Raw genomic sequence first — 23931 nt, 5'->3', positions numbered from 1 at the left:
GGCACAAGAATCACTTAAACCCAGGAGGCAGAGGCCGCAGTGAGCCAAGATTGTGCCACCGCACTCCAGCCTGGGTGACAGAGCGAGCGAGACTCTGTCTCCCCTCCCCCCAAAAAAACAACATGAATGCAGTTAATGCCACTGAACTGAACACTTAAAATGGCGAAGATGATAAATGTTACGTTGTGTGTATTTATTGAAAAGAGAGATGATGATCTAGTCCTTTTCTTGGAACTTCTTCCTCTTGTAAGCCCTCCACGTGCTGAAGGGAAAGTAGGCCCATGCATTGCTGTGTTGGGAACTGACCAGTGACATCAGGGGAAAGAAGAGTTCCCTGAGGACTGACGAGATCAGACGAGGCACATCACAGAGCGCAGGACGCCTGGTGAGGAGCCAGGGCTGAGTGTGCGAGCACAGCTGAGGCAGGAAGGTGAACGGGCGCGTCCTGATGGGACAGCAGGTGGCTGGACATCCCCCAGGCCTGCTTCTTTTGGTGGATTTCGTCACAGGACCGGGGAGGGGTGAGCATCTTTATCCAGGTTCATGTCCACCTGTCACCTTCTCTCTCAAAACTTGAGGGGTTCACGCATAGCATGGGAAATGTGAATTAAAATGTCACGGATACCATGTTTCGCCTCTTGGATGAGCAGAAATTTGTCAGGTAGGTCACATGCTCCACTCGGGAGGGGAGGGGGTGCCCTCACTGTTGGTGGGGAACTGACCCTATAAGCCTTCACTGGAGGGCAGTGTGGCGATGCCAACAGAGCTGCAGCCATACATGTCCTTTGACATGGCACATGGACTCGCACGTCCGTGAAATGATGGGTAAAAGGTATTCAGTACAGCATTGTTTAATAATAATAAAAAAGACTTTGATGCAGGCTCTTATAGTTCTTACAGGCAGCCCAGAAATGGCAGGTGCCAGGCAAAGGGATACAACTCATTGGGTTGGATGGTTCTGTTGTGTTAGATCACTCCTGTGCCCTGACCCTCTGATCCCATATGAGAAGGAGCTGACATGCTATAGAGAACAGTTCCCCTAGAGAGAAAGGAGTCAACTAGTAGGATGCTGTCCACAAAGGGCAGAGGGGCAGGCATGAGCATTTCACCTGCATCCCCCTGCAGTTTCTGTCCTTTGCTTTTCTCCATGATCTTCGCCCTCCTAGCCACGGCACTGCATTGATTCTGGCTGCCCTACAAGTCAATTGTAAAGGGAATCCTGAAATCTCCTCGGTGTAGGGCAGGGCAGGGTGAGGTCCTAAGGAGGAGATCAGCTCTCCACTCTTTTTTTTTTTTTTTTTTTTTTTTTTTGGACAGAGTCTTGTTTTGTGGCCCAGGCTGGAGTGCAGTGGCACAATCTCAGCTCACTGCAATCTCCCAGGTTCAATCAATTCTCCTGCCTCAGGCTCCCAGGTAGCTGGGATTACAGGTGTGCACCACCACACCCGGCTAATTTTTGTATTTTTGGTAGAGATGGGGTTTCACCATGATGGCCAGGCTGGTCTCGAACTCCTGACCTCAAGTGATCCGCCCGCCTCGGCCTCCCAAAGTACTGGAATTACAGGCGTGAGCCACCGTGCCTGGCTGTGCGGTCCTGGAAGCATCTCTGTGGGGACCCTCACCTGAACCTGCAGAGCAGAGAAATGGACAGATTCCTGACCTCACCTAACCCCACTGTGTCAGAAAGCCTTGGGATTCATGTTTAACAATCACACTCATGCACATGAAAAACCCAGCAACCATTGGCTTGTGACATTGCTGCGTTCTGGAAGAATTAAGTCCCTTTCTTATCAGTGTTCAAGTAACAGCCACATCCAACTATAAACATTACAGTTCAAAACCCACATCAAATTATACAGATTATAACCAGAAGGTTTAGCTCTGAAATGAGCGAGGCTGGTGGCCGAGGTATTCCAGCCCTGTCCAATGCAGGTGGGGGCAGGGGCAGATTCTGAAAGGAGCTCCTGGTTTCTGCACAAGGCAGCCAGGGAGCCCATTTCAACAGGCAGGCCTTCCACTTGCTGAAAATCCATCAGTGGCATCTTCCCATTGTTTTTCAGATCAAGATCAAAATCCTTACGGTGGCATGAAGGAGTCCTGCCTGGCTCTTAGCTCTCCCCCTTCCCACTCTGACCTCTACACACTGGTTTTCTTTCAGTCCATCAGGCTCTCCATATGCTCTTCTACCCCAGGGCCTTTGCACACACTGTTCCTTCTCCCTTTGTCTAGTTAAGTCCTTCTCATCCTCCATATTCCTTTCCTTTAGAGCCCTGACGTAGGCTTGAAACCATCCAGGCTCTGCAGATCCTCTGACCTATGTCTGTCTCCTAGCAGCTTCCTGATTGCAGGGACCATGTGTGAGTGTCCCCAGGCTTGTCTCCGTGCTGGGGCTCCAGGCCAATGTCTGTGGAATGAATGAGTGATAATAACGGCAAAAACCAGGCTGGCTAAAACAGGCTTTCTATTGCCATTAGGAAACCAAACTCCTTTCATGATACAGAAAAAAAAAGTCTGGAGGGCAAAACCCTACAAATACCAATATTGATTGTCCCTGAGTCACATGATTACAAGTGATTTTTATTTTCTTCTTTACAGTTTGCTTTCTCCCAATTTTTTAAAAAACAATAGGCCCATAATTACCTTCCATTATCAGAATATGTGAATGATGTCAGAATATTATAATATCAATAAGCAAAAAAGGCAGCTTTGCAAATGAATATATTAATAAATCTTTACAAGCATAGCTCCCTACTCTTTAGGATTTATCCAAGTAAATAAAACAATCTTCTTTCTTTGCTAGGTGTAAATGCTGGGTAATTTCACAGCTGACTTTTTTAAGATTCCTGAACTTTATTTAGTGGAATGACTTCTAGCAGCACAAATAAGACAAATGATAAATTGACTGTTGAATTATTACTCGGGGTGGCTTCTAGCTGATCCAGCATGATTCTCAGGTTAATCAGAAAGGCCCAGTGAAGGCAAAAGAGGGGCAATTTTCACCTTATCTTGTCTTATAAAATATTTTCTGAAAAATATGGACATGCCTGTAGCTTTCAGTTCTTCAAAACAGACCTGTGTCCCCCACATCCCTTCTTAAAGCAAATCTCTCCCAAATCCATTTAAGCTTTCGGAAGAGGATTTGTCTAAGAGAAGATATAAAAGCCCATTAAAAGTCTATTCACAAAGCATTTGGCAATTCATGTATCATCTGTTCTCTCGGGAGCCAGTGTAAGCTCATGCTTCTGGAAATGCAACTGATTCCTTCATAAATCAATGGAACTGTTGCTGACAGTGGTGACTTACTTTTTAAACTAAGGCCAAGCAGCAGTAAGCAGTCAATTATTTTTATACAATCAATGCTGCTCAATTTCTGTCTATATATATAATAATTGTCCTCATTAGTTCCTGTTTCCAAATAGCTTGTTAGTATCAGTGGATACCCACCTTACTGTGAACAAAAATTCTCAGTCTCCACTTTATGTGACCATAATAACGATTGTGGCGTCATTTACTTAGTACCATATGCCAGGTACTTTATATGCATTTTCTCATTTAATCCCTACAGCCCTGTGAAATAAGTGGTTTATAAATGGAGAAAATGAGCTCAGTATGATTAAGTAGTTTGCTTGAAGTCACACAGCCAGAAAACGGTCTAAGAGATTCAAATCCAGGTCTATCTCCAAAGCCTGTGCTTTTAAAAATTACTACAGTTTTCTAATATCATAGTCCAGTTCAAAACAGAGATCACTGTTTCTACCTTGGCCACCCAGAAAGTAAAACTACCTTAAATCTACCCCTTGTTATGATACAGAAGAAACTACGATTCTTTTTATTTGATTTTTCCACTTTGTACACTGAACAGTTTTCTGTGTCCTTGTAGGGAGACCATGTCACGGATGAGAATCTCAAAGGAAGGTATGTTGAGTTATTTTAAAATCGATTGCGTTTATAACTCTTAGAAAACTAGAAATGCAGGGGGAATGTTCTCCATTTGATAAAGAACATCTATAAAAAAACCCTACAGTTAATATAATATTTAATGATGAAAGACAGAATGCTTTTCCCTTAAAACCAGGAACAAGGCAAATATAAAGATTTATACTGCTCTCACCACTCTTCTGCAACAGACTACTGGAAGTCCCAGCCAATGCAACATCTCAAGAAAATAAAATTAAAAGTGTACAGATCAAATAAGTAAAAATAAACTTTTAATTTGCAGATGACATGGTAACATCCTAAGCAGGCGACAAAAAAACTTCTAGAAAGTTCAGTTAAGGTTGCAAGATACCATATAAGCATACTAAAATCAATTATGTTTCTATATACTGGCAATGAAGAGGTGGCCACTGAAATTTAAAGTATAATACCATTTACCATCACAAACAAAAAAGGAGAAATAAAGTACTTAAGTATAAATCCAGCAAAACATGCACAGGATTTGTATGCTGAAAGCTACAAAGTATTCATGAAAGAAACCAAAGAAGATCTAAATCAACGCAGAAACATACCATTTTCATGGATTGAAAAACCACATAGTAAATATATAAATTCTTTCCACATTGACATATAGATTTAAACACAATTTCTATCAAAATCTCAGCAAGACATTTCATAGATATAGACAGACTTATTCTAAAATTTATATGGGAAGGGAAAGGAAGCAGAAGAGGTAAGACAATTTTTTGATTGCTACACACAAATCTATGAATACACATGTGATCTATAAAATGATACAGAACTACACACATTGTCCTCTCTCTCTCTTTCTCTGACACACACACACACACACACACACACACACACACACAGCACTTATGTCAATTTCCTGGTTTTGATATTGTTATAGTCACACATAGTAAGTAACCACTGGAGGAAACTGGGTGGAAGGTAGGTGTGATCTCTACCTACTATTTTTGGAACTTCCTGTGAATCTCTAATTTCAAAATGAAGGGTTAAAAAAGTCTATTGAGTGAGGTCTGAAAGAGATCTGCTTCTCACAGTTATAAAGAGATTCCACGGCATTTTTTCTCTTTCCACTTCAATATTTTAACCCCCTTCCATGTTTAAAAAGGCTCAAATCCACTGTTTTTATTATTATTCTCCTTCTTTCAACTTCTTTGGTTGTCAATGAGCTGAGGCTTTGGACCAAACCACAGCTAATTCAGAGAATGGAATGAAAGAATGCCCAGGCTAAGCCCGGGGCTTGGAGCTCCGTGGCCTCCCTGGCCTCTGAGGGGCCCACGGCAGTCCCATGGGGTCTTGAAAGGAAGAGAGGTCTAGCCCAGAGCAGGCAAAGGCCAAAGCACCAGCTCTGTGCCCACCTTCTGAACCACACATCAGGCTGCTGGGGAGATGACCACAGGTGTGAGGTAGGAGGTGGCACTCGACTCCAGAGGTGGGGCTCAGACACCGGACCAGACTGAGGACTAGCTAAAATAGGGACAGGGTGAAAGCAACTTTCAATCAGACCTGCCCACCAGTGTGCTATGTCAACGTACTGTTGCCATGGCAACACCTGGGCATTATCTCCCCTTTCCATAGCATCCAATGATCCCAAAGTTATTATCCCTTCCCTGCATAAACCAGCCCTTAATCTGCATGCAGTTAAAAGTGAGTATAAATATGACTGCAAAACTGCCCTGAGCTGCTGCTCTCTGTCTACAGGGCGGCCGGGCTCTGTAGGAGCAGCCACACAGCTGTAACACTGCTGCTTCGATAAGGCTGTTTCCTTCTACTCCTGGCTTGCCCTTGAATTCTTTCCTGTGCAAAGCCAAGAACCCTCTCGGGATAAGCCCTACTTTGGGGCTCATCTGCTCTGCAATGGGTGGGACAGTGACAGATGCGTTCAGCAAAGGATGGGAGCGCATCATGCTCTGTACAGCACTCAGCTTCACTCCTTATGCCAGGGAAATGGGGTACCCTTGGCAACTGGCTATTGGTAGCACACCAAGGAAAGGTATGGCTGCTTGCCCAGGTTGTGGTGTACAAGAGACTGGAGTCCACATAACGCTAAGGACTGTTAGAGAGGGAGAAGGAAGGGGTCAGGGAGGGGACGGGAACAGGTGGGAAGACTTCTTACCTGTAAAACAAGGTCTGAATTTTCATGCCTTCCAATTGTGGTACTTTTATTTAGGACAAAAAAGCCTTCTGCGCTCTTTAGATAGGCCTTCATCCTCTCTGTTTTCCCTACATAAGGTTTTCAGAAAGAATTTTGTTAGAAAATGTAGTTCTCTAATTATTCAACAACATCATACTTAAAATGAATGAAATAACCACAGAGTCATGTCCAAAGTGAGAAATCAGAAGAGGGGGGATTAGATAGATCAGTCAACAATGACGACAAGGACAATTCTGCAGGTTTTTAAGACAATCTCTTCTAACCATGATATCTAGCATAGAAAAGCCTGGTTCTAATAATCAAACAGAGGGCATTTCTTAAGTAACTCAGGACACAAACAAAAGCTAAAACAACCTGACAACAAATCTGAGTTCCAGTGATGATTGCTCTCCACCTCCCATCAAGCTTAGTATAAGCTTAGTGATCTGACTTACCAAGTATTCAAGTTCTGTGTTCCTAACCCATCCTTTACTAGCTCTGTGACCTTGGGTGAGTTACTTATTCTCTCTCTGTGACTCAGTTTCCTCATCTATAAAATGGGTGGTTTTTTTTGTTTTTTTTTTTTGAGACAGGGTCTCACTTTGTCATCCAGGCTGCAGGGCAGTGAGCAATCTTGGCTCACTGAGGTCTCGATCTCCTGGGCTCAAGCAATCCTCCTGCCTCAGCCTCCCCAGTAGCTGGGATTACAGGTGTGCACCACCACACCTGGCTAAAGAGACGGGGTATTGCCATGTTGCCCAGGCTAGTCTCAAACTCTTGAGCTCAAGTAATCCTCCTGCCTTGGCCTCCCAAAGTGCTGGGATTACAGACAGGAGCCACCACACCCAGCCTAAAATGGGTTAAATGCAATAATATACGTGAGGTATCTAGAATGGTGCCTGGCACACACTGAACACTCATTTGTACTACTCTTATTAGTGTTGTTAACCTGGGCTTCTCAAACTCTGATCCAAGGAACCCTAAACTTCTATAGAGCTTATTTTATTCATTCATTCATATTTAGAGATGAGGTCTTGCTCTTTGCCCAGGCTGAGTTCAGTGGCACAATCATAGCTCGCTGCAGTCTTGAACTCTTGGGCTCAACTGATCCTCCTGCCTCAGCCTCCAGAGTAGCTAGGAATACAGGCACACCACCATGTCTGCTTTTGGAGTTTCTTAAAGAGTTATCATTGGAGAGGCAGGCATTAGATGATGTTTTTCTTTTTAAATCGCTGTATTTCTTCATTTATTTAGTTAGGGGAAAAAAGATTACTTCTAAAGGCAAAATATCAAGATTATAGCTCAGCCATGTAATCAGGACCCTGCACAGTATTCCCCCCAGCATTTTACTATAAAAATGTCAAACATACAGAGAGGCTGAAAGAAGCAGATAATGAGCTCCTATGTACCCACCACTAGATTCTACCATCGGCATTTTGCCATATTTGCTTTATCACAGATCTTTCCATCTATCCGTGTGTCCATCCATTTTATATTGTGGTGCATTTCGAAATAAGTTCTATACACATCTTTTAAGACAAACACTTCAGTGACTTCAGAAAGTTCTAAAATATTGACAGTAATTCATCTCGATGCTTGAATCCGATTTGAGATTACGTCTAAAGATGCAGTGTGATATCCTCCACCTCAATTCCTTGTCAAAGAACAACAACAGTCTCTCTCTTTTCCATTCAATTGAAAAGTCAGTGAAATGACAAATTATTGGACTATGGGTAAAAACAAAAATCAACTAGTTGTGGTGGTACGGACTCTCGGGGCTGGCTCTGCTTTTCATCATCATCTCTATCATCATTTATGGAGTCCTTAGTAAGTGCCAGGCACTTTTCCTTGAATATACTCTTTTCATCCTCAGAGAAACCCTGCAAGGTGGGTGTCATTATTGTCCCTACTTTACAGAAAAGGAGACTGAGATGCAGAGAGGTTAAGGTCCCCTAGCATTCGGGCAGGGAGATTGCCATTGCATGTCACCACTACATAATCCTCAGGCAGCTCAACTTTTCACACCTCCATCACTGCTGGGTGGGGAGGGGATGGGATGGGGGAGCAGAGAGAGTGACTGAGTGGGGGGAGGGAGAGGTTGTCACTTGGGATAGTGGGGTTGTCACTGTTTTGTTGACACTTAGGACATGAAATAACAGATAGCCCTTAACACCAGAATTCTATCCTCTGCAAAAAAAGAAAAGACCCTTGGGAGTAAGAGAAATAAAAACAAGCCAGATAGTTTATGTTTGTAAATTCCGAAGCCTATGAGAAATCCTCAGAAATATTAATACTTTCATATAATGAGAATTTTATTTTTAAGTCTGCTGTCTTTAATAGGGATAAAAAGACACTTCTTTTTCCAAAAGAACCATGCCCTGTTGCCCTCAAATTGCCTGAGTTATTAATCTTCAATTGCAGAGGACTACATCATCAAGCACCACATCCAAACTAAAGTAAAAGTAATCTAAAGTCAACTTTCGAGAAATGTCTCTTTTGTGGGAAAGCCACAGGAAATGCCTCCAGAGTAAAACCCCAAATCTGAATGACTGGCTTTTTTTTTTTTTTTAGCTCTTCCCCCCGATGTTTCCACAGCTGGTGCCTTGCGGTAGCTACCTGACCACCCCAGCTAAAGGCGTCACCAGTCACTTTGTTGTCTAGCTAGCATGTGTCACTGCTGTGGCTCCTTCCTTGAGCTTATCATTCTCTGTCATTTTCTTGTTCTTTACTTAGCTGTTTACTGTTTCCCTTTCACTGAGATACGTTCCAAGAGAGCCCAAACTGTGTTGTTTTTGTTAAACTCAATTCTCCATGGGTTTCCTGTGTTTGTACCCATCTTCAGAGCAAAGACACTGACAGATTTTGTTCCAGACAATCTTCCAAGGACATCTGTAGGGCAAATATCCTGAGAGGATAGGGATAGTGTCCCTATCCAGGGCAGAGTGCAGATTTATGATAAAAATGTCATCTCTGGCTGGGCACGGTGGCTCATGCCTGTAATCCTAGCACTTTGGGAGGCCCAGGTGGACGGATCACCTGAGGTCAGGAGTTTGAGACCAGCCTGGCCAACATGGCGAAACCCTGTCTCTACTAAAAACACAAAAAAATTAGCCGGGCATGGTGGCTTGCACCTGTAGTCCCAGCTAATCGGAAGTCTGAGGCAGGAGAATCACTTGAAACCGTGCAGCAGAGGTTGCAGTGAGCTGAGATTGTGCCACTGCACTCTATCTAGCTTGGGAGACAGAGCAAGACTCTGTCTCAATTAAAAAAAAAAAAAAAAGGTCATCTCCTTCCAGGGCAAAGGTTGGGCACTGGCTAGCAGCCCCTTTTAAAAGACTGGAGTTTCCTGAGCTTGGGGTTCCTTAGCTGGGAAACAGACTCGCAGTGTGCACAGCATCCACCTGAGCTGTCCTGCATCACCCCGGGGTACTTGCAGGGCAAGGGGAACCAACGCAAACATGAGCTCACAGTGCCTGCTGTGCTGTGAGTAATAACATCCTTTGTCTCTGGTCCTGGAGTCTCTGGTCTTCTGCTAGCATCATTAAGCAGTGGCAGGCTAACTTAGCTTGCAAGTAGTGTAAAAATCTCAGACCCTTTGCATTTCCTCACAGTCTGTTCATTACTCCCCTCTGGCCCCCAGCGCTGCCATGCCTGACACATAGTGGTGCTCAGTAAATCATGAATGAATGAAAGTACAAAACAATGCTTAAAAGTAAGTCAGGGTAGCCTAAGAACCTCTGACAGTAACTACCTTTCATTTTCCCCTTCAGTATTTATCCTAGATGACATTCTGGAAAAAAAAAAAAAAGTCTATTTCTTTAGCTGAATGGGTTGGGCCCTATTTCCCCACTTTAATCTTGCCCTGTGCAGTCACTTTCCTACCTGAAAACACTGTAGAAAGTGATTAGATGCGTTAAACTCTGTAAATTAGTTCTAAGACACAGGGCACCGACCATGCAAAAGAGCAAAAGAGCTTCAGGCATCTGCACTCCCTGCTTATAGGTCACAAGTGAGATAGAGAAGCAAAATTTCTGTTGAGGGGTTACCAGATCTTAAGTGGCCTGGGAGCCCTAGAAATTCCTCAGTGTTGTATTTGGGAAGGGAGAGGTTAGGCAAGGGGGGAGTCTCTCTGACCGCCGGGTGGGTGTCGTTCGTAAGTCAGGGGCAGCAGGGATGCCCCTCCTAATCCCAGCTGTAACCCCCAGGACTTCCCAGAGTGGCATGGCTGGTGCCAAGGAGGGTCTAAGGCTCCCGGGGGCTTCCTCCGCGGGCGGGGTGGGGCCTGCATCTGGAAAGGAGGGGCTGGTGTTGGGGTAGCTACTGGGGTGCTCCTGGGGACCGGAGCCTGGATCCAGGAGGATGGGGCCGGGGAGCCACCCCTCCTCCTGCCAGGGCTAGTCCTCGCTGGGCCGCCCCTTCCGGTCCCCGGTCTCGGCCCGCCACCCCTTCCCGCGCCGCACTCACCTGGCGGGAGGAGGAAGCCCACGCTCCGACCTCCGCCGAGAGCCCTGCCAGCTCGGGAGGCGTCGGGCCAGCTCCGGGGCGAAGCCTCCCGGCCGCGCTCCCGCGGAGTCTCCAGCTCGCACCCGGCACCCCGCCCGCCCGGCCGGCCTGTGTACGCGCGTTGCCATGGCAACGCCGCCAGGCGCCGCGGGGTCCAGCCTAATAGATGAGGGCGTGGCCTGCGCGGCAGAGGGGGCGTGGCACCGTGCAGGGAACGCCCACTGGGTTACCGCCTGCTGAATGCTCCAGGCCCCACGAGCCTGCCCCATTTCACAGATAGGAAAGCGGAGGCTCAGAGGTCACAGAAATGGCCCAAGGTTTTACAGCGAGGAAGGAGCAGGGAGGAGATTTGATTCAAGAATCCTTTCCATTACCCCTCACTGTAAGCTGGATGCGTTGAGGGAGGGTCGGGGGCGATAGGGAGAGGTAGGAGATTGATGGAGCTGAACTCATGAGACCCTTGGAGGTTAGTATGCCCCCTGCCCTACCCAAATCTCTAGTCCTTTCCGTTACAGGCCAGAAAATAGAAAGAGTAAGAAGAGGGGATCTCTGGGAGTGGGGTGGGGATTGGGAAAGGGATGGGGTGGAATGAAAAATTTTGAAAGAATGAGGATTTCTTCCATGTGCTGGGGAAAAAATATTTCCAAACTCACAATCCTGCTGCCTCTGCTCCTCCCTGTTAAGAGTGACATTTATTCATTCTTTTGCCCTTTCTCTATCTCTGCAAACATCTTTTGAGTCCTATGAGTGTCACACGCTGATCCCAGAATACACCTGGAACAGTTACTGTCCTTAAGAAACCGCTTGTCAGCCGGCACAGGACTCGCGGGATGGAGTGTGTTGAGCAGATGTGCAAATCCTATCTCCCGCCACTATCTCCAGCAGGAAATCCTATCTCCTGCTGACTCTACCTGGAGAGTGATTCCTTTCACTGGCAGGAAATGGCTGACCAGACACCTCAAGAAAAACTCTAAACGTTTTTCTAAGAGAGATGAACTATGGCACATTCTACCCTAGTGATACGGTTTGGCTGTGTGTCCCCACCCAAATTTCATCTCGAATTGCACTCCCCACGTGTTGGAAGAGGGGCCTGGTGGGAGGTGATTGAATCATGGGGGCAGACTTCCCGCTTGCTTTTCTCATGATAGCGAGTGAGTTCTCATGAGATCTGATGGTTTAAAAGTGTGGCACTTCCCCCTTTGCTCTCTCTCTCTCCTGCTACACCATGTTACAACATGCTAGCTTCCTTGCTTCCCCTTGGCCTTCCGCCATAACTGTAAGTTTCCTGAGGCCTCCCTAGCAGTGCAGAACTGTGAGTCAATTAAACTTCTTTTCTTTGTAAATTATTCAGTCTCAAGGAATTACTTTATAGCAGTGTGAGAACAGACTAATACACCTAGTCAATAGGAAGAGGATCTGAGAGAGAAATCATGGACATCGATTTGTGGTGGAATATACAGTGAAGATGCTCAAACGTGCCTGGAGGCTTTTAGAAATGCGGACTTCTGGGCACAGACCCCAGAGATTCTGATTTAGCAGGCCTGGGACATAATCCAGGAATGTGCATTTGCAACAAGCTTGACAAAACCCTGATTTATGCAGCTGAACTGCAGAGACCTCTCCCGGAGCCTGTCCCTACAAATCTCTTCCAGGCCCTCAGTCTGGAAGGTTCTGCCTGGATCAGTTTCCTACAACCAGAAAGATTCTAGGCGTAAAATGTTAGGAGGGACCACAAGGGCTGGGACCCAAGTGATGGCTTCACAGGAACAGAGAGGGTCAAGCTCAGCTTCCCACACGTTTCTGCCTCAGAGCCTTTGCTCTTGCCCATTCCTCTGCCTGGAATGCACTTCCCCTCAAGAGTCTCCTTTGCCTTCTTTACTTTAGCTTTTTACTCACATATCATCTTTTCTAAAATTGGTTTTTTGAAACAATGAAACAACCACCATGAAATCTAATAAACAACAAAAAAGAGCAAATAAAAACAATAAGAACAGCAAAAGCAAATAAAAATAAGAACAACAAAAGCAAATAAAAATAAGAACAACAAAAGCACATCCAAACAAAATAAAAACCTCAACACTCTATCCCTCTTCCCTTCTTTTTGCCACTTGCTATAGTTAGAATATTTGACCCCTCCAAATCTCATGTTGAAATTTGCTCCTCAGTGTTGGAGGTGGGGCCTGGCGGGAGGTGCTTGGATCATGCGGGCGAATCCCTCATGGATGGCTTGGTGCTGTTCCTGTAGGGTGCATGAGTTCTCACTCTATCAGTTTCCTAAAGAGCTGATTGTTAGAAAGAGCCTGGCACCTCCCCCTCGCTCACTCTCACTTCCTCTCTCATCATGTGATCTCTGCACATGCAGGCGCTACTTTCTGCCAGGAGTGGAAGCAGCCTGAGACCCTCACCAGAGGCAGATGCTGGCACCATGCTTCTTGTACAACCTGCAGAACTGTGAGCCAAATAAACCTCTTTTCTGGATAAATGACACAGCCTCAGGTATTACTTGATAGCAACACAAATGGACTAATACATCACTTATCATCAACTCACATACTATTTCTTTATTTATTTATGTTATTTATTGTGTCTCCCTCCCTGACCCCTGGTAGAATCTAAACTCCATGAAAGCAGGAATTTCTTTTTTCATGTTTTGTTTGCTGCTGTGCCACCAGTCCCTAGAACAATGTCTGAATGAATAAATATGCAGGGGGAAGCCCCTGCCACCCTTCTGAAGCCCGGCCTCCTGTCCTCTGAGGACTGCTGGGCTGACCTGTCCTCGCCCCAGGATGTCGGCTTCTCTAGTCCCCTGCCCAGGCCTGAACACCACCTCCATCCCTACCACCACCCCTCCATGCTTGTCTTTGGTCAAACTCTTGTCATTAACATGAACCCAGGACACAAACTTGCTATCAGACAGACCCCAGTGAAACCCAGGCTGGCCATGAGCTGGAACAGCCCATGCCCCTCACCAGGCTTTGAGAGATCATCTGTTGCTGTTAGCTGATATCTCAATGAAAAACAAAAAATCCTAAACTGAGAGCAAAGCTGACACTCAGAATCAGTGGAGCCGAAGTTGCCAAATCTTAATTGGATCCTCTGTCCCTCAGGATGCCACTGTTATCTCAAGGGTGTGCAAAGTTCTTGAAACCCAATTCCGTATCATCCATTTTCATTTCAAAAACAGAAAATCAAATACCCAATAACTTAGGGTTTTATGATATAATTTCCTGGGCTGAGTAAGAGAGTTGTACATTGCAATTAAACAGTGATGCGGCATTAAAAATACTGTCCCTGAAAAAAAAAAATAGATGTTTCTAGATTACTTGTGCTTCTTGGCAGTGCCTACAGTTAACCTTTTATTGAACTCTTGGTGACGACGAAGCCCATATTGTAGGAAATAAGGCTCAGAGACAGGGAGAAATCTGCCTAAAGTCACACAGCTAGAAAATCTGGCAGGATTTGAATCGAGATGAATGTGACAAGGAAGGTATTTCCCCTGGGGAACTACAGGTGACAGCTGTCACAATCACAAGATGCCACTTACTCACAACTGCTTTCTCTCACTTCTGAGCAGCCTGCACTCTTGTCTGTCCAAAGGTTCAGGCAGTGCCCAGGGCAGGGAGTGAAGGGGGCATAAGCCCAGAGGAGGCAGCTTAGGCCTGCCACCCACATTACCTGCTGACATTGGGCACTAGGCTTCGTTCCTGCAGAACTTCTGCCCCCGTAAAATCTCATTCCTTCCCAGCCACCTTCTCTGGGCTGTTCTTGCCTGGGGAGAGCCTAACCCTGTGCTCCATCCTCAGAGAACTGTGTGATGTTTCTCCTGCTGCCCTTGCATTCCAACATGAAATGAATGCTGGCTTCAGGCCCCAGCCGCGGCCAGGAGAGGTGTGGAGGCTTCCTCAGCCTCTATGGCATGAAAGAGAGCCAGAGAAAGAGCAAGAACAAGAGAGTAAAGAGTGCAGGAAATAGCCAAGCTGTTGCGCAGGGTGACGGATGACAGAGAGCAGAGGGCCCACTAGAGACTCCACGGCCCATTAGTAACCTGACCATATAAGCTTAGAAAGTACAGATTTTTATATACAGACCTACACACAGAGACTCATGAAAATAATTTCAAACCATGGAGAGAATAACTGGCAACTGAGGCTTTCTGCAGCCATCCTTGCCTTTTCCCGTGGCAGAAAATGAGAAAATATGGAGCTTCGTCTCATGTCGACTCTTTCATGCTGGTTTGGAGCATTCAGTTATCTTGCAAATCATTTTTCAAAGTCAGTTCCCCTTGGTTCCTTGCGCTTTGCTGTGGGGGGGTCTGTCTGTACCATCCGTTCAAAAACTGCAAAGTGTGCTGGCCCCACCTGTCCTGGGCCTGGTTTTTGTTGTATTTTGTTTGTGCCTCACTTCCCTCACCTGTAAAATGGGTATACAACAATCCATTTTATTGAAAGGATTAAATGGGTTAAGACGTATGAAACAATGGATCAGTGGCTGGTACAACTGAATGGCTCTATGAGTGTTTACGATTATTGCCTGTTTTCTTTTTCTCTGATGCTGTGCGAAGAGAGCCCCAATCTCAACCCAGGTCACAAACACTCTGGAGAAACTTTGATTTGCATCAAGACTCAGTCCTACTCCAGAACAAACCTGATCTCTGGATGACTAGTCTCATATTATCTGGCCGGCTGCTCTGAGACCTTTCTATATGTGGATATGGATATAAGAGATAGGATGTGCTCCTTCCTCTAGTCACAACTAGAGGTGATTCTTGGGAACCCAGCAGTCTCTATGGGGTGGCACCTGCTGGACAACTCCATAAATTCTACTTCCAGGCATGTGGGCAAACCTTCACTATATTTTTTTGAGTGACAGTGAACCTTTATGAATGTGGTTAACAAATTCAGCTCATATTTATTAAAGCTAACAAGGTACCAACCACCATGTCATGCACAGTTTTATTTAGTTCTTAGCCCAACTCATTATACAGAAAGAGAAATTGAGGCACAGAAAAGTCAAGTAACTTAACCAGTTACAAATCTTGCACATGGTGGTTCTGGAATTCAAACTCTGGCTGCCAGATTACAAAGTGCTGTACTTTTTGTAAACTTTTTTTTTTTTTTTTTTTTTTAGATGGAGTCTTGCTCTGTTGCCCAGGCTGGAGTGCAGTGGTGCGATCTCGGCTCACTGCAACCTCCTCCTCCCGGGTTCAAGCGATTCTCCTGCTTCAGCCGCCTGAGTAGCTGGGACTACAGCCACACGCCACCATGCCCGGCTACTTTTTGTATTTTTAGTAGAGACGGGGTTTCACCATGTTGGCCAGGCTGGTCTCGATCTCCTGACCTCGTGATCCACCCGCCTCAGCTTCCCAGAGTGCTGGGATTAGAGGCGTGAGCCACTGCACCCGGCCTTTTTGTAAACTTTTTATCGAAGATAATATACATATTGAAAATATACATTTTGTCTCAGGTCATAATTGCACTTTATAGCATTACAAATGGGCTGAGACACCATTTGAATTTTTACTAAGTGTACTCACCCACCTAACCAGAATCCAGATCAAGAAGCAAAACATCACCAGCACTCCTAGAAGTCTCCCTGTGACCCCTTCCAGTCATGACCCACCCCCTGGGGTAGCCCCTATCCTGACTGCTAATGTCATAGATTCGTTCTGGGTTTTTTTTGTTTGTTTGTTTTTTTGTTGTTTGTTTTTTTTGAGACAAGACTTTTGCTCTTATCACCCAGGGTAGAGTGCCATGATATGATCTCACTGCAACCTCTGCCTCCCGTGTTCAAGTGATTCTCCTACCTCAGCCTCCCAAGTAGCTGGGATTACAGGCACCTGCTACCATGCCCAGCTAATTTTTGTATTTTAATATAGGTGGGGTTTCACAATGTTGGTCCGGAAGTCGAACTCCTGACCTCAGGTGATCCACCCGCCTCACCTCCCACAGTGCTGGGATTATAGGCGTGAGCCACTGCGCCTGGCCAGTTCTGTTTGTTTTTGAACTTTATGTAAATGGGATCCTACAAATTCCATCTTCTGTCTGGTTTCTTTCGCTTGACGTTATGTTTGGGAGATGTCTTTTCATCTCCCAAAGTCAAGCATGTCTCTTCAAGTAGCTGTGGTTCATTCATTCTCATTGCTCTGTCGTATTCCATTGTATTGGTTATCAATTGCTGCTTAACAAACTACCACAAACTTAGCAGCTCAAAACAACCCACATTTATCATCTCACAGATTCTGTGGGTCAGGAATTGGGCAGGGCTCAGCACGGTCCTGTGCTTTAGGGTCTCACAGGCTGCAATCAAGGAGCTGGCCAAGCTGGGATCTCATCTGAGCCTCAACTGGGGATAAATCTGCATCTGCTTTCTTTCTTTCTTTCTTTTTTTTTTTTTTTTTTTTGAGATAGAGTCTCGCTCTGTCAGCCTGGCTGGAGTGCAGTGGCATGATCTTGGCTCACTGCAACCTCTGCCTCCCAGGTTCAAGCGATTCTTCTGCCTCAGCCTCCCGAGTAGCTGGGACTACAGGCAAGTGCCACCACCCCTGGCTAATTTTTGTGTTTTTAGTGGAGAAGGGGTTTCACCATATTGGCCAGGCTGATCTCAAACTCCTGACCTTGTGATCCACCCTCCTCGGCCTCCCAAAGTGCTGGGATTACAGGCATGAGCCACCACGCCCGGCCCGATCTGCTTTCTTTTTTCTTTTTCTTTCTTTTTTTTTTTTTTTTTGAGACAGGGTCTCTCCTGTTGTCCAGGCTGGGAGTGCAGTGATGTGATCGTAACTCACTGCAGCCTTGATTTCCCAGGCTCAAGTGTCCCTCCCACCTCAGCCTCCTGAGTAGCTGGGACCACAGCCATGTACCACTAAGCCTATTTTTTTAATTTTTATTTTTAATAGAGATGAGATCTCACTATGTTGCCCAGGCTTGTCTTGAACTCCCGGGCTCAAGCGATCCTCCCACCTTGGACTACCAAAGTGCTGAGATTACAGGCATGAGCCACTACACCTGGCTGGATCCAGTTTCAAGCTCACATTGTTATTGGTAAGATTCGTTTTTTTGAGGGTATCAGAAAGAGAGCCTCAGCTCCTTGCTGGGTATTAGCTGAGCTCACCCTCAGTTTCTTGCCATGTGGGCCTTTCTGGAAGTTGGCTTGCCTCATCAAAGTCAGTAAGAGTCAGTAGACAGAGTCTGCGACTCTGGACCCCCAGTAGACTCTCAATAGAGAGATGGAAGTTATAATCTTATGTAACATAATCACAGAAATTACATCCCATCACCTTTGCTGTATTCTACAGCTTAAAATAAGTTACAGGTCCTGCCCCGACTCAAGGGAGAGGATACCACAGAGGTGTGAACACCAGAGGTAATTGGGCGCCACTGTGTATGTCCGTTGGTATGCATATGTGCACATGTCTATTAGATATAGACCTAGGAATAGAGGTGCTGAGTTGCAGATTCAGCAGATGTTCAGCTTTAAAAGATTCTGACAAACATTTTTCCAAAGCGCTGGTACCAATCTACACCCCCCAGCAGTGCATGAATACTTGAGTCGCAGCACATGCCTTCAAATATTACTCTCCCCTCTCTACTTACAGAAGGAGTTTGACCAGGAGTTCCTTGGAACAGGAGGTCCTAAACCTGGCCCCATGTCAGAATCACTGTTCCTGGGCTGTACCTCCAGACTTTCTGATTGTTGGATGGCTGGGATATAACCTGGAAGCTACACTCCATGTGGTGAAGGTTCTTTGTTGTTCTTTTTGTTTTTCTTTTGAGACAGAGTCTCGCTCTGTCACTCAGGCTGAAGTGCAGTGGCACAGTCTCGGCTCACTGTGACCTCCGCCTCCCAGGTTCAAGCGATTCCCCTGCCTCAGCCTCCCAAGTAGCTGGAACCACAGGCATGCACCACCACATCTGGCTAATTTGTTGTATTTTTAGTAGAGACGGGGTTTCACCATGTTGGCCAGGCTGGTCTCAAACTCCTGACCTCAAGTGATCCGCCCACCTCGGCCTCTCAAAGTGCTGGGATTACAGGCATGGCCCAGTGCACCCGGCCATCCTTTTCTTGTTCACCCAAGCATCCCTGGTGCTCAGAGCAGTACCTGACATGCAGCCAACATTCAATAAGGATTTAAATAAATGAATGAGTTTAGGGGCTGAGCATGGTAGCTCATGCCTGTAATCCCAGCACTTTGGGAGGCTGAGGTGAGAGGATCATGTCAGCCCAGGAGTTTGAACCAGCATAGGCAACATAGACAGACCTTGCTTTTACAAAAAATAAAAAAGTTAGCTGGATATGGTGGCACACACTTGTAGTCTCAGCTACTCTGGAGGCTGAGGCAGGAGGATTGCATCAGCCCAGGAGTTCAAGGCTGCAGTGAGCTATGATCATGCCACTGCACTCCTGCCTGGGTGACTTAGTGAGACCCCCGTCTCTTAAAGTAAATGAATGAAGGAGTTTAGGACTATTGTCCAAGAAGACCTACTGGTGGCCTCAGGGAAGGTGTGAACCACTGAAATTGGGAGGAAGCTTTGATGTGTCTGGGCCTATGTGTATTTTTCTGGAAAGAGGGCCCAGAGCCTTAACCAGACTTCTCCCCAGCAAAGGTTAAGAGCCTCTTTGATTGGACGTGGTCTGGGGTAGTTGATTTATCCTATAAAGAAACAGTTGGGCCTGGGGAAGGAGGCACAGGGGCTGTGTACAAGGCTCTGTGGTGCTTGGCAGGGTTTAGGAAGTGAGAAGAGAGACAGTCTCTGCCTGGGGTGGCTTATAAGCTGACACCCCTGCTCACTTTGTCCTTTGACTTATGGTGGCTCTTTTGGCACATCTAGCCACTGCTTGGCCTCCTGTGCCCTCCCTTGTGTCTGTTTATTGAATAGCAAATTCCAGAAGGCCTTGGTGGCCCTGAGTTTCCATCAACAGCAAGCCAACATGATTCCTACCTTTTGAGAAAGCTGCTTCCAATCAACAGCAGGCCTCCCTGTTGGTCTAGTTTGAGATGACCTCAGCCCTTGTCACCTCTCTGGGTTTCTGGAGGTTTTGTAGCATCTCACTGCCATCTGCATTCTCTTCTCATTTCAACAGTGCTCCTTTTTTTTTTTTTTTTTTTCCTTGAGATGGAGTCTCACTCTATTGCCCAGGCTGGAGTGCAGTGGTGCAGTCTCGGCTCACTATAACTTCTGCCTCCCGGGTTCAAGCAATTCTCCTGCCTCAGCCTCCTGAGTAGCTGGGGTTACAGGTGTGCGCCACCATGCCTGTCTAATTTTTATATTTTTAGTAGAGACAGGGTTTTACCAGGGGTCAGGCTGGTCTCGGACTCCTGACGTCGTGATCTGCCCATGTCAGCCTCCCAAAGTGCTGGGATTACAGGCATGAGCCACCGCGCCTGGCCAACAGTGCTCCTATCTTAGGCATTTTGCTTTTGTTTCAGGTCATCCCCATCGCTCGCTGCTGATCTTCCTTTCTGAGCTGATCAATCCCCTCACGCTGGACATTTCTTCTCAGGTTTCCTCTGAATCATTTTATTTGGTCTAAACATGTCCAGTTTTTCTGCCTTCCTTACAGCACTCAACACAGACTCTCTCTTTTCTCGAGAACAACTGTTCTTTTCTTTCTGATACTTTACCCAAATCCTCACCTTTCACCGTGTTTTCTGACCTCTCCTAAGAACTGATTGTTTTTTGAAACTTAAGTCTCAAAGATTGTCCCTTCTAATCTGGCTCTGAATTTGAATCGTTGTCAAGAAACAAGGGGGACAGTAATGTTCCTGGGTCACTAGGATTCTCAGTAGAAGGGCCGAGTGCTCACCAGGGGCTGAGGGGCTGGGGTTGGAGAGGGAGGGACGTGCTTCCACGTGGGGTGGAGCTTGTGGGGTCAGGAAGGGCTTTGAGAAAAAGGAATCACTTGACCTGGGTCTTGAAGGATGGGTAGGATTTCAGGAGGGAGAGAAGGAAGAGAAAGGCATTGCAGGAGGAAGGAGCAGTGGGAACAAGAGCTGGAAGATGGGGAATGAGGGAGGCTACGCAACCGTGGGACAGAGGGAGGCAGGGCCAGGTGCTGAGACTGCAAACTGAAGGCCACAGTCAGCCTCCATGTTTCTTTGGCTTTCACAGTGTGTTAAAATACTTTCAACTAGTTGATGGAGGATACAGCCTCTTTCTGTGGAGTGATAAAGAGCCTGTATTAGTCCATGCTTATGCTGCTATAAAGAGCTGCCTGAGACTGGGTAATTTATGAAGGAAAGAGGTTTAATTGACTCACAGTTCTGCAGGGCAAGGGAGGCCTCAGGAAACTTACGATCATGGTGGAAGGGGAAGCAAACGCGTCCCTCTTAACATGGCGGCAGCAAGGAGCAGTGCCAAGCAAAAGGGGAAAGCCCCTTATAAAACCATCACGTCTCCAAGAACTCACTCACTGTCAAGAGAACAGCACGAGGGTAACCGCCCTCATGACTCAATTACCTCCCACTGGGTCCCTTCCACGACATGTGTGGATTATGGGAACTACAATTCAAGATGAGATTTGGTTGCAGACACAGCCAAACCATATCAGAGCCCAGTTCAAACTAGCTTCAGCATGAAAGCAAATTAACTGGTTACCGTAAATGAAAAGTCTGCAGGGCTCAAGTGATGTCATCAGACCTCAGTCTCTCTCTGGCTCCTCAGCAATACTTTTGACCACGTGGATCCAACCTCAGACAGAATCTCTGTATAATGGTCCCAGAAAGACTGCTGCAGCTCCAGTCCTTACATCTTCTCAGCTTTGAATCCCAAGGGGATGAGAGAGAATTTTTTCCTAAGATTCTCCCAAAGGCCTCATGGCTTCTCATTTTCTCTGATTGACTCACAGGCCCGTTTCTAAGCCAATTAGTGTGGTCCGGGGGACTGCTGTGCTCTGATTGGCCAAGCTTGAGTCACATGCCCATCCCTGCAGCCGGAGATGGAGTCAACTCAACCAGGAAGAGACTGAGACTGGGCTGAGAACAGGAAAGGGGGTGGTCCCCAAAGGGGAATCATACATAACACCGTAATATTTTAGAAGAAAGGTGAATTGATATTGGGTGGCAGAAGCTTCAGGTGTCTCCTGCAGTGGCTAACGTACAAATCACGTTGACTTACTTTACAATTTGGATTTATGTCTTTTCTGGGGAAATTGGAACATCAGGCAATACTTGGGCTCTGTTCCTGCACACAGAGCAACAATCTGTGAGGCGTGTGGAGAGGCTGCCGCCTCCAGGTACAGCCTGTGTCCTCCTTGTCCGCCGCGCTTATTCTTATTCCTTCTCTGTTCTATAACTGCTTGAGTTTTTACCCCTGATGTATTTTGATTATGTGGATCTGTTTATCCTACCAGAATGGAAGTGCTAAAAGTACAGGGGTCAAGTAGTTCTCCCTGTGTTCCCACAAAGTTCTGAGGTCAAATGCCTGGCCGTTAAAAAAATTCAACTTTTAGCTGGGCATAGTGGCTCACGCCTGTAATCCCAGCACTTTGGGAAGCCGAGGCCGGCGGCTCACTTGAGGTCAGGAGTTCAAATCCAGCCTGGCCAACATGGTGAAATGTCTCTACTAAAAATAAAGAAATTAATCGGGCGTGGTGGCGGGTGCCTGTAATCCCAGCTACTCTGGAGGCCGAGGCATGAGAATCGCTTGAACCCGGGAGGCAGAGGTTCCAGTGAGCTGAGATCACACCACTGCACTCTAGCCTGAGCGACAGAGTGAGACTCTGCCTCAAAAAAAAAAAAAAAAAATTCAACTTTTATTTTAGATACAGAGGGTAAATGTGCAGGTTTGTTACATGGGCACATTGCACCCAGGTAGTGAGTATAGTATCAAATAGGTACTTTTTCAACCCACTCCCCCACCTCCTTTCCCCTCAAGTAGTCTGCAGTGTTGAGTGTTCCCATGTTTATGCTCATGTGGGCTCAATGTTTAGCTCCCCCTTCTAAGTGAGAATATGCGGTATTTGGTTTTCTGTTCCTTTGTTAATTTACTTAGGATAATGGCCTCTAGCTGCAACCATGTTGCTGTAAAGGACATGATCTCATTCTTTCTTATGGCTACGTAGTATTCTGTAGTGTATATGTGCCACATTTTCCTTATCCAATCCACCATTGATGGGCACCTAAGTTGATTCCATGTCTTTGCTATTGTGAATAGTGCTGCGATGAACGTAGGAGCGTATGTGTCTTTTTGGTAAAATGGTCTTTTTCTTTTTGGGTATATCCTGGCAATGGGATTGCTGGGTCAAATGGTAACTCTGTTTTAAGTTCTTCGAGAAATCTCCAAACTGCTTTCCACAGTGGTGGAACTAATTTACATTCCCACCAACTGTGTATAAGCATTCCCTTTTCTCAACATCCTCTACAGCTTCTGGTTTTTGTTTGTTTGTTTTTTTGACTTCTTAGTAATAGCCATTCTGACTGTTGTGAGATGGTATCTCGTTGTGGTTTTGATTTGCATTTCTCTCATGATTACAGATGATGAGCCTGGCCATTTTTGATCATCTCATTCCTTGCTCATTTTTAAATCCTTCTTTTAAAAACTATTTAATACAAAGTAGAATCAGTATCTGGGAATTCCAACACCTGATGTCCTTGGGGTGCGAGGAAGTGTCTCAATCTACTGTTTGTTCTTTCTGCTCACTCTTGCTCATACTGACTTGTTTCTTGGAGGGTTAATAATTTGAATGTGATCTCAGTGTTGATTGAAATTGATCTGCGGGAGTCCTGAGGAGTCTGATTTCTGGCTGCGTTCCTCTAGGAATGATTTTTGTTTGTTTCATTTGGATGCCAGGGCTGCTACCAACCTGTGATCCCTTACATTTACTTCTTCAGCTTGGAGTTTCCCCCTTGAATGCACGGAGTGTTAAACTAATTCCTAGTACCATGTGGTTACGAATCCTCAGGGTTAACAATCGTCATTATTATGGTGGCCATTGTTAATTTTCCCCTCCAGAAACCCTGCAGAGCCCATGCGCTCCCTTTTCTGGCAGTCCAGAAAAATACACTTAAAGCCTTCCCTTTCTCAGGAGGTAGAGCACCTTTCAAGGTCCTGGCTTAATATGGACATTGTAGATTTTGCTAGCTCAGTTTGCAAAGGCCTGAGGTCTGACTTCTTATTTCCTGTACCTGTTAACTCTCCACACTGATGGAGGTATTTATCCTCAGGAATTCCTGGCTTCCTCATTCGCTTATACTTTGGTTATAGCTAGCTCTGCCTATGGTGTGTGTGTGTGTATGTTCCTTTGGGACTACTTACTTAAAAAAATTGGGTGTCCTCCAGCAATCTCATTACTGAGTATATACTCAAAAGAAAATAAATCATTCTACCAAAAAG

The 23931-nt window shown here is 45.9% G+C and overlaps 1 protein-coding gene across 39 annotated transcripts in view, besides 2 other annotated features; it reads right to left on the bottom strand.

Moving 5' to 3' along the window:
* The window catches only part of FHAD1 (forkhead associated phosphopeptide binding domain 1), a 166490-nt gene extending 145054 nt beyond the window's left edge, over positions 1–21436 (bottom strand). For 32 of the 39 annotated variants that reach the window (XM_047443734.1, XM_017000198.3, XM_017000199.3 and 29 more), the window contains exons 1-2: positions 21196–21436; positions 6080–6186 (exon numbers count right to left, since the gene is read on the bottom strand). In XM_047443734.1, the coding sequence (XP_047299690.1) occupies positions 6080–6186; positions 21196–21232 (144 nt within the window). In that variant the 5' untranslated portion in view covers positions 21233–21436. Of the gene's footprint in view, positions 1–6079; positions 6187–10561; positions 10735–21195 lie in introns of those variants that run through there. The other 7 variants (XM_011540577.3, XM_047443737.1, XM_024452898.2 and 4 more) reach the window with 2 other exon arrangements.
* Positions 10469–10708: a silencer, noted in NCBI's record as "silent region_300". NCBI's record gives its function as "represses an Ori minimal core promoter by ATAC-STARR-seq in GM12878 lymphoblastoid cells {active_cell/tissue: GM12878}" and the evidence as "EXISTENCE:reporter gene assay evidence [ECO:0000049][PMID:35858748]".
* Positions 10726–10899: a silencer, noted in NCBI's record as "fragment chr1:15573554-15573727 (GRCh37/hg19 assembly coordinates)". NCBI's record gives its function as "represses an EF-1alpha promoter that drives an FKBP-Casp9 reporter gene in an ReSE screen in HepG2 liver carcinoma cells {active_cell/tissue: HepG2}" and the evidence as "EXISTENCE:reporter gene assay evidence [ECO:0000049][PMID:32094911]".
* Positions 21437–23931: the final 2495 nt, after the last annotated feature.

The sequence above is a fragment of the Homo sapiens genome, chromosome 1, assembly GCF_000001405.40.
Source record: "Homo sapiens chromosome 1, GRCh38.p14 Primary Assembly".
Taxonomy (NCBI): domain Eukaryota; kingdom Metazoa; phylum Chordata; class Mammalia; order Primates; family Hominidae; genus Homo; species Homo sapiens.
Note: the sequence above shows the minus strand (reverse complement) of the source record. Positions and strands in the feature narration are given on the sequence as shown.